The 13,628-nt window shown below is 56.4% G+C and overlaps 1 protein-coding gene across 3 annotated transcripts in view, besides 5 other annotated features; it reads left to right on the forward strand.

Moving 5' to 3' along the window:
- Positions 1–10,221, forward strand: part of GGT1 (gamma-glutamyltransferase 1) — a 45,247-nt gene extending 35,026 nt beyond the window's left edge. For all 3 annotated transcript variants that reach the window (NM_013430.3, NM_001288833.2, NM_013421.3), the window contains 9 exons: positions 1,553–1,745; positions 2,138–2,295; positions 4,332–4,481; positions 5,005–5,141; positions 8,657–8,844; positions 9,077–9,204; positions 9,306–9,418; positions 9,500–9,613; positions 9,918–10,221. In NM_013430.3, the coding sequence (NP_038347.2) occupies positions 1,553–1,745; positions 2,138–2,295; positions 4,332–4,481; positions 5,005–5,141; positions 8,657–8,844; positions 9,077–9,204; positions 9,306–9,418; positions 9,500–9,613; positions 9,918–10,064 (1,328 nt within the window). In that variant the 3' untranslated portion in view covers positions 10,065–10,221. The remainder of the gene's footprint in view (positions 1–1,552; positions 1,746–2,137; positions 2,296–4,331; positions 4,482–5,004; positions 5,142–8,656; positions 8,845–9,076; positions 9,205–9,305; positions 9,419–9,499; positions 9,614–9,917) is intronic.
- Positions 2,021–2,521: an enhancer, noted in NCBI's record as "H3K4me1 hESC enhancer chr22:25016763-25017263 (GRCh37/hg19 assembly coordinates)". NCBI's record gives its function as "activates a minimal SCP1, AML or CMV promoter by ChIP-STARR-seq in primed H9 embryonic stem cells {active_cell/tissue: H9 hESC(primed)}" and the evidence as "EXISTENCE:reporter gene assay evidence [ECO:0000049][PMID:30033119]".
- Positions 11,074–11,622: an enhancer, noted in NCBI's record as "H3K27ac-H3K4me1 hESC enhancer chr22:25025816-25026364 (GRCh37/hg19 assembly coordinates)". NCBI's record gives its function as "activates a minimal SCP1, AML or CMV promoter by ChIP-STARR-seq in primed H9 embryonic stem cells {active_cell/tissue: H9 hESC(primed)}" and the evidence as "EXISTENCE:reporter gene assay evidence [ECO:0000049][PMID:30033119]".
- Positions 11,623–12,172: an enhancer, noted in NCBI's record as "NANOG-H3K27ac-H3K4me1 hESC enhancer chr22:25026365-25026914 (GRCh37/hg19 assembly coordinates)". NCBI's record gives its function as "activates a minimal SCP1, AML or CMV promoter by ChIP-STARR-seq in naive and primed H9 embryonic stem cells {active_cell/tissue: H9 hESC(naive and primed)}" and the evidence as "EXISTENCE:reporter gene assay evidence [ECO:0000049][PMID:30033119]".
- Positions 12,173–12,720: an enhancer, noted in NCBI's record as "NANOG-H3K27ac-H3K4me1 hESC enhancer chr22:25026915-25027462 (GRCh37/hg19 assembly coordinates)". NCBI's record gives its function as "activates a minimal SCP1, AML or CMV promoter by ChIP-STARR-seq in naive H9 embryonic stem cells {active_cell/tissue: H9 hESC(naive)}" and the evidence as "EXISTENCE:reporter gene assay evidence [ECO:0000049][PMID:30033119]".
- Positions 12,721–13,270: an enhancer, noted in NCBI's record as "H3K27ac-H3K4me1 hESC enhancer chr22:25027463-25028012 (GRCh37/hg19 assembly coordinates)". NCBI's record gives its function as "activates a minimal SCP1, AML or CMV promoter by ChIP-STARR-seq in naive H9 embryonic stem cells {active_cell/tissue: H9 hESC(naive)}" and the evidence as "EXISTENCE:reporter gene assay evidence [ECO:0000049][PMID:30033119]".

The raw sequence follows: 13,628 nt of genomic DNA on the forward strand, positions 1-13,628 counted from the left end.
CAGCTGCCAAGCCAAGCCAAATGGCCCCATCATCTCTCGCAAGAGCAGGAGAGTCCCTGGGGGCAGAGGCCATAGTTGTACCTTTCTGGGCAAAGGGTCAGTGTCTGTAGTGTCCTTATGGGCAGCGGGGCTCAGGGGGGAAGCAGGCCCAGGGGTGTGTTTCCAATGACCTCCTCAAAAGTCAGAACTGGAAGGCAAAACCCCTTATAGGCTGAGTGCACCTGTAATCCCAGCATGTTGGGATGCTGAGGTGGGAGGATTGCTTGAGGCCAGAGTTTGAGACCAGTCTTGGCAACGTAGCAAGACCCCTGTCTCTACAAAAAATAAAAATAAAAAATTAGGCTGGGAATGGTGGCTCACGCCTGTAATCCCAGAACTCTGAGAGGCTGAGGAGGATGGATCACCTGATGTTAGGAGTTCAAGACCAGCCTGACCAACCTGGTGAAACCCCGTCTCTACTAAAAATACAAAAATTAGCAAGGCATGGTGGTGCATGCCTGTAATCCCAGCTACTTGGGAGGCTGAGGCAGGAGAATTGCTTGAACTCGGGAGGTGGAGGTTGGAGTGAGCCAAGATTGTGCCATTGCACTCCAGCCTGGGCAACAAGAGTGAAACTCCATCTCAGAAAAAAAAAAAAAAAAAAAAAAGCCCTGTGTAGTGGGGTATGTCTGTAGTCTTAGGTACTTCAGAGGCTGAGGTAGGAGGATCGCTTGAGCCTGGGAAGCCAAGGCTGCAGTGAGCCATGATTGCACCACTGCACTCCAGCTGGGACAACAGAATGAGACCCTGTCTCAAAACAGACAAACAAACAAAAACCCTTATAGTTGGATGGAGAAACTGAGGCTGGGAGAGGGGACAGGACGGAGGTTAAGGCTCAGTCTTGCCTCTCTGGGGCCGTAGAAAAGAGGCAGGGAGCCCTTTCTTGGGGCTGGCTGTGTCTTGAAGGTGGCCTGTGCTTGACCTCGGTCAAGGTGGGATCTGCTCTTGTTTTGGCACATTCTCGTGGAGCCCATGAGTCTTACAGGATAAGGCCTTGTGGTCAGTGAGATGGGAGGGGGTCTGGCCTGGCACAGGATTTTAGACATGCAGGCACCTGCACAGACAGACACCTCATCCTGGGACAGCAAAACCCAGCCGCATGCTACTGCTTCCCCTGCTGTGCCCTCCTCAGACATCCCTGGTCCATGTACACTCCTACCTGCTGAGCCCCTCCTAAAAAAAAAAATTAAACATCCCCTCCTAAAAAAAAACAATTAAAATTAAAAAATAAATTTAAAAATTAAAAATCCCCTTCTGCTAGGTGTGCTGTTCACGCCTGTAATCTCAGCGACTCAGGAGGCTGAGGTGGGAGGATCGCTTGAATCCAGGAGTTCGAGATCGGGCTGGGCAAGATGGCAAGACCCCAACTCAAAAAAGAAAAAAAAAAAATCTTTCCTCCTAAGCCTCATTGCCCCATCTGTAAAATGAGTCAGGGACTGTGCCTGGGATGCTGCCTGCGAGAGATCCCGATGTCCCCCACTCAGGGTCACTAACTATGGCTCTCTCTCCCCAGGGGGGCTGTCGGTGGCGGTGCCTGGGGAGATCCGAGGCTATGAGCTGGCACACCAGCGGCATGGGCGGCTGCCCTGGGCTCGCCTCTTCCAGCCCAGCATCCAGCTGGCCCGCCAGGGCTTCCCCGTGGGCAAGGGCTTGGCGGCAGCCCTGGAAAACAAGCGGACCGTCATCGAGCAGCAGCCTGTCTTGTGGTATGTCTGTGGGTGCGGCCCCCTGACACAGGCAGGGCAGGCACAGCCCAAGGACCTTGCAGGCCGTAGCAGCAGTGGAGCAGCCCTCTGCCTTCAGGACCCTGTGCTGATAATGGGATGAGGAGATACAGACCCTTCCCACCACGTGTGGGGACACATTCTGAGCGTGGGGTCCCAGTGGCCACTGTGGCTGGCCATGTGTCCTGAGTGGCAAGGGACACTAGGAAGCTCCCGGAAGGGACACTAGGAAGACGAGCGCTGAGTGACAGGGCCACCCACCTGTGACAGGCGCTGCCCCTGTTCTGCTCCGTTCTCCTGTGTGGACGGGTGTGAGGGGTGGTCTAGCTGAGTCCACCCCACCTGCTGCCTCACATGAGCCCCCTCTGCCCCAGTGAGGTGTTCTGCCGGGATAGAAAGGTGCTTCGGGAGGGGGAGAGACTGACCCTGCCGCAGCTGGCTGACACCTACGAGACGCTGGCCATCGAGGGTGCCCAGGCCTTCTACAACGGCAGCCTCACGGCCCAGATTGTGAAGGACATCCAGGCGGCCGGTGAGTGGGTAACCTCAGGGGCCTGGGTGAGGAACTCTGCAGTGGAAACCCTGAGCTGTAGCCCAGAGCTATGGGGTCCTCCTGTCTTGCCTGAGCCTGCAGGAAGTTCCTGGTGGAGGAGGGTCAGTGACTGGCCATGTGGGTCCACAGCTCCTGCTTATATCAAAACCAAGAGAGGCCACACAGTCCAGGAGAGCAAGTCCCTGTTGGGGTAAATGCAGGTGTAGGCAAGAGCCAGGGCTAGGGAAGCACTAGAATACAGCCTGAAGATCCAGGAGGACTTCTTGGAGGAGGTGGCGGCTGGGCTGCAGATAACTTTGTTAGGCAGAGAGAGGAAGGGATTCCTAGCAGAGGAACAGCTGGGCTAAGGCCCAGTAGAGGGCGCTTTGATTCACCAAGAGGGTTACAAGGGATGAGGGTCTCCTTGAGAGAGGCATGGGGAAGGGGATTTGTGGGGCAGGGGCCTGGAGCTTGGCTGTGGCTTTCTTCAGGTAATTTTTGTCACGTTTCATGGAGGAGGGTGATTAGCGTGTCGACCTTTACCACTGAGGCTGGAAATTGGCATGCCAATACCCTGTCTGTCTGGAGCTGACTCCAGGAGAATTAAGAGCCTCCCTCCTCTATTCATTCATCATGAGGAGAAGAGGCCAAGCGGCAGGGAGACTGGCAGGAATTCTCCAGTTAGAAAAGGCCCTCTGAGCCAGGCGCGGTGGCTCACGTCTGTAATCCCAGCACTTTGGGAGGCCGAGGCGGGTGGATCACCTGAGGTCAGGAGTTCAAGACCAGCCTGGCCAACATGGCGAAACCCTGTCTCTACTAAAAATGCAAAATTAGTCAGGCATGGTAGGTTGTGCCTGTAATCCCAGCTACTTGGGAGGCTGTGCCAGGAGAATCGCTAGAACCTGGGGGGCTGAGGTTGCAGTGAGCCGAGATTGCACCACTGCACTCCACAGAGTGAGATTCCATCTCAAAAAAAAAAAAAGAAAGAAAGAAAAGGCCCTCTGAGGCCAAGCTTGGTGTCTCATGCCTGTAATCCCAACACTTTGGGAGGCTGAGGTAGAAGTTGAGGCCAGGAGGTCCAAGACAAGCCTGGGCAACATAGTGAGTCTACAAAAAAAATATTGAGAAACTACATAAATATAGTGGGGGTGGGGGTGGGGAACAAGAAAACAAAAAATTCAAAGCATAGTGAAAAGAAATATAGCAAAACCCGGCCGGGCATGGTGGCTCACGCCTGTAATCCCAGCACTTTGAGAGGCCGAGGCGTGTGGATCACGGGGTCAGGAGATCGAGACCATCCTGGCTAACACAGTGAAACCTGTCTCTACTAAAAATACAAAAAAATTAGCCACGTGTGGTGGCGGGCGCCTGCAGTCCCAGCTACTTGGGAGGCTGAGGCAGGAGAATGGCGTGAACCTGGGAGGTGGAGCTTGCAGTGAGCCGATATCGCGCCACTGCACTCCAGCCTGGGCGATAGAGCGAGACTCCGTCTCAAAAAACAAAAAAAAAGTAGCAAAACACAACAAAAAAATTAAAATTTGCTGGGTGTAGTTGTGCCTTTAGTCTCAGCTACTGGGGAGGGTCTGCTGGAGGATCACTTGAGCCCAGGAGTTCAAGGCTGTGATTAAGCCACTGCACTCCAGCCTGGGTGACAGAGCAAGATCCTATCTCTAAAAAAAAAAAAGAAAAGAAAACACTCTGTGGCCACAGATGAGAGAAGGCAGACAGGAAGCCAGTAAGCCAAGCAGGCAAAGGGCAGGTGGCCCCAGCCCGGCTGTTGGGTGGTGAGCAGTGTCAGGGAGACAGGAGTGCCGGAGCTGATGAGGTTCCCAAGGAGGTGAGGTTGCCTGTGGCCCCCTCCCAGGGCACAGTCCCACCCCTCCAGTAGTGCACTCTGTCCTCCCTGGTAGGTACAGGCTTTTCCCCACCACCATGGTGCAGCCATGCCTGCCCCCAACACCACTGCTGCAGCTCCATCCTCCACGCAGTGGTGCAGCCCCATCCCAGCACCCATTTGAGCTGCTGTCCCATTGCAGGGGGCATTGTGACAGCTGAGGACCTGAACAACTACCGTGCTGAGCTGATCGAGCACCCGCTGAACATCAGCCTGGGAGACGTGGTGCTGTACATGCCCAGTGCGCCGCTCAGCGGGCCCGTGCTGGCCCTCATCCTCAACATCCTCAAAGGTGAGTGGTCGCACCACAGCCGTGTGGTAGGACCCATGACACTGCCTCTCTCTCCCCACGCCCCACCCCTCCTGCATCTCTGCTCGCCCCCCATGCCACGTCTTTCCATCACTGAGCTCCCGAGGTGTGTCCCTGCGTCACAGTTCACCATGTCCTGAAGGAGGCAGTGCAGAGCGACAGGGCTGAAGCGGGCAATGCTCAAGGGTTGGAGGAGGAACAGGAGTCATCAGGAGGGAGAGAGGTGCAGGAGCTCAGGGCTGCAGGGCCGGTCCAGAGGGTACCCCGGTCCAGTGGGTGACCCTGCCACTTGGTCATTGAATGGCCAGAGCTGATGCGTGACGTGAGGTCCAGGCTCGGGAGCCCTCACCTTACTTCACTCTCACCACAGCCTTCTGAAGCAGCTGCTGCTATTGGTTATTAAACGCTCCTTGAGGTGGGCAAAGTGGCTCAGGCAGGTGTTAACCCTCTGAGCCCCTCAGAGCCTCTGGGGCTCAGCAACATGCACCTGGCTCTGATCAACCAGGGTACAACTTCTCCCGGGAGAGCGTGGAGAGCCCCGAGCAGAAGGGCCTGACGTACCACCGCATCGTAGAGGCTTTCCGGTTTGCCTACGCCAAGAGGACCCTGCTTGGGGACCCCAAGTTTGTGGATGTGACTGAGGTAAGGGGCAGGGGCTGGCCCACTGTGGGTGTGGGGCCTGCCATAGAGGCATCAGGTGGGCTCCCCAGGGTGGCTACAGCCTCACATATGCTTTATGAATCCATTCCTGCCACAGACTTCGATTGCGGGCCTACTGTGTGCTCGGATGGACTCGTGGGTGACCCCCAGTCTTGGCTTCTGCCGCACAGAACTGACAGTGTGGGGAATTAGTGGCCACCCTCCTACCTCAGGTCCTTTGCACATGCTGTGGTTCTCGAGTGCTCAGTGCTGAGATGAGGAATGCATGGGGGCATTGCAGCCCTCGGGCATGGTGAGATGGATGGGTGAAAGGGAGAGGGCCAGGTGAACAGAGACCTTGGCCACCCACTCCCTGTCACTCCAAACTAACGCTTCCCAGATGCCACCCTCAGCCCTGCACCACCTGACCCACTCACTCAGTAGTTGCCCCAGCTCCACACTGGGTCCCTATAAGACCCTGTCATATCCCTTCCCGCTGAGGATCCTCACATCCCTCCTTACCTACTTGGGTCCTTGGCATTCCTGGGCGGATCTGCAGACCCCCCCACACTGACCAGTGACCTCCCAGGAGGGGCGTCAGCTGCCCAGGTGGTGTCTTCTCTTTCCCCGTGAGCATTCTGCACCTCTGACTCCCGCTGCAGCCAGTGACCTGGTGTCTTGTCTCTCTGAGGGGACAGAGCCACTGCAGTGTGTCCCTCTGCCCTCCTTTTTGGCTAAGGCCAGCTCCTTCATCTACTCGCTGGCTCGGGGTGCTGTTCCTACAATGCTCCTTTCTGCCTCTGATGATTTACTTCTTTATCACGGCTTATTCCCGAAAGAAAGGCAGCTGTTGTTGCTCTAGAAACTTCTATCTGCTGCCTCCTTCTGTCCTTTGCTCCTCTTAGAGCAAACATGGCTGGGCTATGTCCTCTCTCCCTTCAGGGTATCCCCTCCCCTGCTCTATCCCCATGCCACCAGATCGCCATGTCCAGCCTCAGTTTCCCCATCAGGCCCCACTCAGCAGCATCTCACACAGCTCACCACACTCTCCTCGAGTTTTCATTTTGCAAATTTTCGCACCTACAAAAATGTAAAAAAACCCCAAAACTGCCCAAGCATCAATGCTCCCTTTTCCTGGAGTCTGCAGTGTGGATGTTTCTGTCGGATTTCCTAACTCTCTCCGTCTCCACCCACATCTATTGGGATTCGTGTTTTTCTGAGGGATTCCACAGTAGGTTACTGATGTCGCACCTCAGGGTGTGTCTCAAAAGTGAGACTTGAACATAGCACAGCAGGATGTCGGGGTGACACAACCTGTTGTCCCTTCTCTTTACCTACAGTAGGCTCCCTTGGCTGTTTTGTTTTTGTTGTGTTTTTGTTTGTACACAGAGTCTCTGTCATCCAGGTTGGAGTGCAGTGGTGTGATCTTGGCTCACTGCAGCCTCAACCTCCAGGGCTCAAGCAATCCTCCCACTTCAGCCCCCTGAACAGCTGGGACCAGAGGCACGTGCCACCAAACCTGGATAATTTTTGTATTTTTTTTAGAGACAGGGTCTTGCCCAGACTGGTCTCAAACTCCCGGGATCAAACTATCTTCCCACCTCAGCCTCCCAAAGCGCTGGGATTACAGGTGTGTTTTTTTTTTTGAGACAGAGTCTCGCTCTGTTGCCCAGGCTGGAGTGCAGTGGCGCTATCTCGGCTCACTGTAAGCTCCGCCTCCTGGGTTCACGCCATTCTCCTGCCTCAGCCTCCCGAGTAGCTGGGATTACAGGCGCCCGCCACACCGCCCAGCTAATTTTTTGTATTTTTAGTAGAGAGGGGGTTTCACCGTGATCGCGATCTCCTGACCTCGTGATCCGCCTGCCTCGGCCTCCCAAAGTGCTGGGATTACAGGCATGAGCCACCGTGCCTGGCCTGTTTTGTTGATTTTTAAAGCCCAGGGCAGTAGTCTTGGAAAATGTCCCACATCGTGGATTTGCCTTTCTGTTTCCTTGAGGGCAGATTCAGACAGAACACCTTTCCCTGGGATTGGTCAACTAATCCGTGGGGTGTTGCTGAAACTTTATTTTATTTTATTTTATTTTTGAGACGGAGTCTCGCTCTGTCCCCCAGGCTGTCCCCCAGGCTGGAGTGCAGTGGCGGGATCTCCGCTCACTGCAAGCTCCGCCTCCCAGGTTCACGCCATTCTCCTGCCTCAGCCCCCCAAGTAGCTGGGACTACATGTGCCCACCACCGCGCCCAGCTAATTTTTTGTATTTTTAGTAGAGACGGGGTTTCACTGTGTTAGCCAGGATGGTCTCGATCTCCTGACGTCGTGATCCGCCCTCCCAAAGTGCTGGGATTACAGGCCTCGGCCTCCCAAAGTGCTGGGATTACAGGCGTGAGCCACCGCGCCCGGTGTTGAAACTCCCTTGAGGCATTTTCTTCGGCCTTCGGGTCCATCCTCTGTCTCCTCCTTGACCTCCTCATCTCCTCGCCACTGCCTTGGGGACCTTGGCCAGGCTCATGGCATCCAGCAGCCACTCAATGTCAATACCTCCATGTTCATCTCTCAGCCCGCCCTTGCCCGTGAACCCATGCTTATTTATTTATTTTTTTTAATACGTGCACCCATGCTCTTCAGGTCTGATGAAGTATCCAAAATCAAGCTCCTGACCATCCCCAAACCTGCCCCTTCTGCAGGGTTTACCTCGCTAGTCGGCGCCATCCTTGATTCTTCTCTTTCTCCCACCCAGGCCATCATCTCTTGCCTGGTTGATACCCACAGCCTCCCCTTTGGGCTTTATCCTTATCCCCATCATAGCTGCCAGAGGGATCCTGTGAAAACACTCCCCAGCCTGCTCATTCCTCTGCCCTAAGCCTGCATGGCACAGAGCAAAAGCCAGTTGTTATGGGACCTAGGAAGTCCTGTGGGATGGGCCCCAGCCTGCATCTTCATCCTCTTCTCCCCACCCCACTCCATTCACTCTCTGCCTATCACTCACCAGCCTATACCACCTGCCTCAGGGCCTTTGCACTGACCATTTAGGCCACATTCCAGGCTCTTTTCACACGTTGCCTCCTCTGAGAAGCCCTCCCTGACCACTCTGCCCATACCTCATGCCTCTTGATTCCCCTTACCTGGCTTGTGGTTTCAGCACTTTCCCTGTGTGTGTTTGTTTTTCTTGGCATGAGAGCAGGACCTAAGTGTCTGTTCCCTGTTGATTCCCCAGTGCCAGGCATGCAGTGCAAACTCTAGAAATATTTTTTGCATGAAGGAATGAGTGATTGAATGCAGCAAGGGTCTGGAGGCTGAGGACCAGGCAGACAGACATTCAGAGTTGCTGGAACGCGACAGAGACAGGGAGTCAGACTGGTCATGCAAGGTCCTGGGCCTGCCCTTGGGTCCTGGGGAGCCACGGAAGGTTGTGGGTGCCAGAGGGTTGCGGTCAGAGTCACAGTCAAGGGCCTTCTGAGACCTGTGCCCCCTCCCCACCCTCCCTCCCCACCTCCTCAGGCCAGCTCTGGGGTCTCGGCAGGTGGTCCGCAACATGACCTCCGAGTTCTTCGCTGCCCAGCTCCGGGCCCAGATCTCTGACGACACCACTCACCCGATCTCCTACTACAAGCCCGAGTTCTACACGCCGGATGACGGGGGCACTGCTCACCTGTCTGTCGTCGCAGAGGACGGCAGTGCTGTGTCCGCCACCAGCACCATCAACCTCTAGTAGGGGCTGCTGGGCCGCCTGGGTGGGAAAGGGCCAGGGGCGGGTGGCCCAGGGACTGCCCACTTATCCAGTAAGGTGGCTCCGTCACCTCTTTTCCTGGTGGGAAACTGAGGCCCAACCTTGGTAGCTTATCCTGGGCCTCTCAGTGAGTATGTTTGAGCCTCAGTGGGTGGATAGGGACCAGGCTGGGCCAGGCAAGGTCGGGCACTGTCTGACCTGGCTGGGCGGTAGCTTTGGCTCCAAGGTCCGCTCCCCGGTCAGCGGGATCCTGTTCAATAATGAAATGGACGACTTCAGCTCTCCCAGCATCACCAACGAGTTTGGGGTACCCCCCTCACCTGCCAATTTCATCCAGCCAGGTATGGGGTGGAGGTCCGGGGGTGGGGGACTGGGGTGGAGAGGGGCGGGTGTCCTGGGCAGGCAGCTGACGGGCATCCCTGTCTTCTCCCATCGGCCGCAGGGAAGCAGCCGCTCTCGTCCATGTGCCCGACGATCATGGTGGGCCAGGACGGCCAGGTCCGGATGGTGGTGGGAGCTGCTGGGGGCACACAGATCACCACGGCCACTGCACTGGTATGTGTCACACCTTTTCTCCCTGGCCGTGCCCACCCTGCACAGCCCCCAAGCCATGCTGATCACACTCCCATGCCCCAGGCCATCATCTACAACCTCTGGTTCGGCTATGACGTGAAGCGGGCCGTGGAGGAGCCCCGGCTGCACAACCAGCTTCTGCCCAACGTCACGACAGTGGAGAGAAACATTGACCAGGTGGGCCGGGGGTTGGAGAAACTGAGTCAAGGTGTGGGGCCCCAGGGCATCCTGGGCTGGAGGCCTGGATCATCACAGAGTGGACAATGGTTGGTGTCCTCTCTCTAGTGCCTGGGCCATCTGGAGCCCCTGTGCCATGAGGGCCAAGCCCCCTGCTCCAGTGAGACCCAGCAGGCCCCAACCTGCTCTTCCTGATGACCTGGCCCGAAATGGCACCACCTGGGCTGAGGCCTGTGACCACACAGATGTGGTTCAGGTGGCATCTGGAGCCCTGCTCAGGCTTCCCCTCTCCTCCCACCCCCAGGCAGTGACTGCAGCCCTGGAGACCCGGCACCATCACACCCAGATCGCGTCCACCTTCATCGCTGTGGTGCAAGCCATCGTCCGCACGGCTGGTGGCTGGGCAGCTGCCTCGGACTCCAGGAAAGGCGGGGAGCCTGCCGGCTACTGAGTGCTCCAGGAGGACAAGGCTGACAAGCAATCCAGGGACAAGATACTCACCAGGACCAGGAAGGGGACTCTGGGGGACCGGCTTCCCCTGTGAGCAGCAGAGCAGCACAATAAATGAGGCCACTGTGCCAGGCTCCAGGTGGCCTCCCTGGCCTGTCTCCCCACTCTCTGGGCCTCAGTGTATTGTGTGTGAAATGGAGCCATCTGGCTGGGGAGGAACAGAGAGGTGGGATTCGGAGATCTTCACAATGCGGGCACTGGAACTAGCCTCAGCATCTTCAGCATGGGGAGAGCCAGGCACATGGCTGGGGGCCAGGGGAAGGTTCACACCAAGCTCTGCCCCTTCCCACCCTGATCCCTCGGACTTTGGGGCCAGGCCCTCCCTTACTGGGGCTGGGCAGTGACACTACCTAGGATCAGCCACCAGGGGGTACCACGACCCTGGCACTTTCTTAGGCAGAGGGTGGCCAGCTGATGCTGGGAACCCGGGTGCCTTCTTAGACCCGTAGGCGTCCAGCTCACCCTGCCGATGACACTGGAGGTGAAGCTGAGGTCCGAGGAATGGGGACTGGGCAACAGGCTGGAGGAAAACATCTCGGTCAGAGCCACGCCCCTGGGGGGTTTCCAAGTTTAAGCCCAGAGTGAAACCCAAGCTTGTGATCCTCTCCAGAGGGAGGCCTGGTTCTCAGGGAACAGCAAACGGGAAGATGTCCCCAGATCCCAGGGATCAGGGCTTGGACCAGCCGGGGACGCAGCCCAGAGGGAGTGGGTCCAGAAGGAAACAGCTAGACACAGCAGCCTTCACCATCGGCAGCCCCTCCAGGCCTCCCTCAGGGCCTGCTCCCTCCTCTGTGCACAGTTCCAACACCTGGGGCAGGGTTCTGGGAAGGGCTGGTGGAGGTGGGCTGGTGGGAGGCGGTGATCACAGCCCAGCACCTGGATATCACCAGGGGCACTGGGGCCAGGGGCCAGGTGAGGCCAGGTCGGGGCTATCCTTCAGGATCCCCGAAGACCTGGTGATTCCAAAGGGCCCATAGACAAACAGGGTTTTCTGCCTGTGGAGTCAAGTCCCACTGGGTCTGAGCTCTGGAGGGCTGTGTCTCTGGGGCTCTGCAGGGGTGAGATGGAGGTGGGCTCAACTGGTGTACAAGTCACTCTTCAATCCTTATTTTATTTATTTAATTTTTTTAAAAAAAATTTAAACCAATAGAGATGGGGTCTCACTATGTTGATCAGGCTGGTCTTAACTCCTGACTTCAAGCAGTCCCCCCATCTCAGTCTCCCAAAGTGCTAGGATTACAGGGGTGAGACACTGCACCCGGCCTCAATCCTTATTTTGGCCTGAGAGGAAAGGCCGTGGCCCCATTTGCAGGGGAGAAGACTGAAGCTGGAGGGGCAGGCCTTGCTCTGGGTTGCACAGCAGCAACAGAAGTGGGAGCTGGCCACGAGGCTTCCTCGACTCGACACACTGGTGGGGTACACCCTGGTTCTCCAGGTCCCATGGGGCTCAGCCCAGGACTACCTCGGGGGGTGAGGGACTTAAATCCTCTCCTTCATTCTCATCGCCCCTTCCCCCATCATTTCCTGAGGAAGGACATTCAGGGACCTGAAGGAGCGGCCTGCCCCTCCACATCTGTGGGTGTTTCTCATCAGGTGGGACAAGAGACTGAGAAAAGAAAGAGACACAGAGACAAAGTATAGAGAAAGAAAAGTGGGCCCAGGGGACCTGCGCTCAGCATACAGAGGCCCCACGCTGGCATCAGTCTCTGAGTTCCCTAGTATTTATTGATCATTATCTCTACCATCTCAGAGAGGGGGATGTAGCAGGACAATATGGTAATAGTGGGGAGAGGGTCAGCAGGAAAACACGTGAACAAATGTCTCTGTGTCATAAACAAGGTTAAGAAAAAGGTGCTGTGCTTTGATGTGCATATACATAAACATCTCAATGCATTAAAGAGCAGTATTGCCACCAGCATGTCCCACCTCCAGCCCTAAGGCAGTTTTCTCCTATCTCAGTAGATGGAATATACAATTGGGTTTTACACATTCCTTTGCCCAGGGACGATCAGGAGACAGATGCCTTCCTCTTATCTCAACTGCAAAGAGGCCTTCCTTCCTCTTATACTAATCCTCCTCAGCACAGACCCTTTACGGGTGTCGGGCTGGGGAACGGTCAGGTCTTTTCCTTCCCACAAGGCCATATTTCAGACTGTCACATGGGGAGAAACCTTGGACAATACCTGGCTTTCCTAGGCAGAGGTCCCTGCGGCCTTCTGCAGTGTTTTGTGCCCCTGCTTACTTGAGATTAGGGAGTGGTGATGACTTTTAACAAGCATGCTGCCTTCAAGCATTTGTTTAACAAAGCACATCCTGCACAGCCCTGAATCCATTAAACCTTGAGTCGACACAGTACTTGTTTCTGTGAGCACAGGGTTGGGGATAGGGTTACAGATTAACAGCATCTCAAGGCAAAAGAATTTTTCTTACTACAGAACAAAATGGAGCCTCTTACGTCTACTTCTTTCTACATAGACACAGTAACAGTCTGATATCTCTTTCTTTTCCCCACAGGGACCTTCCTGGCTGTGCCTCGGATCAGGACCAGAATGACACCCATTCATTTCCCTGGGCCTTTGCTCCGGTGGTCCCTGCACCCTGGCCTCTGCCTGACGAGGATGGTGGGGAGAGGAGGGGGGACATCCCCCACGCTGCTGTCTCCACTGTGGCCTCTGAGCTTCCAGGACTGCAGCGGGTGGGTGGGTGGCCTGGCCTAAGCCCAGGAATGCACTTCAGCTCCTGGTTGAGCAATGTCACTGAGGCTTGGGAGTCGGGTGGGGACGGGAGGAGGCGTCCGCAGGCCCCCCCTACCGTGAGAGGCAGCCGTGGGAACAGCCTACCTCTAAACAATCGCTGCAGCCCAGGCTGACCAGGGGCTCTGGCCGGACATAGGGGCCTGGCAGGCTGTGTGGCCTGTAAGGACACAGTCTGTCTCTGTGCCTCAGTTTCTCTGCTGCCCAGATGGAGAGGCCCAGACTCCAGGTGTAGACATCTGGAGCAGGCAGTGTTCAGCTGGGGAGGGAGCGGGGAGGACTATGGGGGCCACGTGGGAAGAAGTCCAGCCCACATCACCTGCACCCCTGCTGAGCCTGGTCAACAGAGGCCCTCAGTGGGTCCTCACTCTCCTGGCTGCCTCCCATTTAGGCACCCTGAGGCCTGGGGAGAACAGAGCCAGGCCAGTGTCCCCAGAGAGGCTGCGCTGCCAGCACAGTAGTAGCAGATTTGGATTCAGGGAAGTAGACCTGCAGCCAGGGTGGGAAAGAGCTGCAGGCGGGGTGGAGCCCCCACATGGCACAGCCCCCCTCCTTGGAGGTCTATGCTGCATTTCCAGGACAGCAAGTCCCAGGGATGGATGGTGCCTGGTGCCAAGGGCTAGAGGCATGGTCTGTCTGCATTCCCTACAGGGGCATCTTGTAGTCACCAGCATTTGATGCTGTCAAGTCCCCCTGTCCTCTGTGCAGACTGGGAAGCCCTTGGTCACCCTGGGGGGGGTTGGGGGACCCAG

The sequence above is a fragment of the Homo sapiens genome, chromosome 22 (assembly GCF_000001405.40).
Source record: "Homo sapiens chromosome 22, GRCh38.p14 Primary Assembly".
NCBI classification, from domain to species: Eukaryota; Metazoa; Chordata; class Mammalia; order Primates; family Hominidae; genus Homo; species Homo sapiens.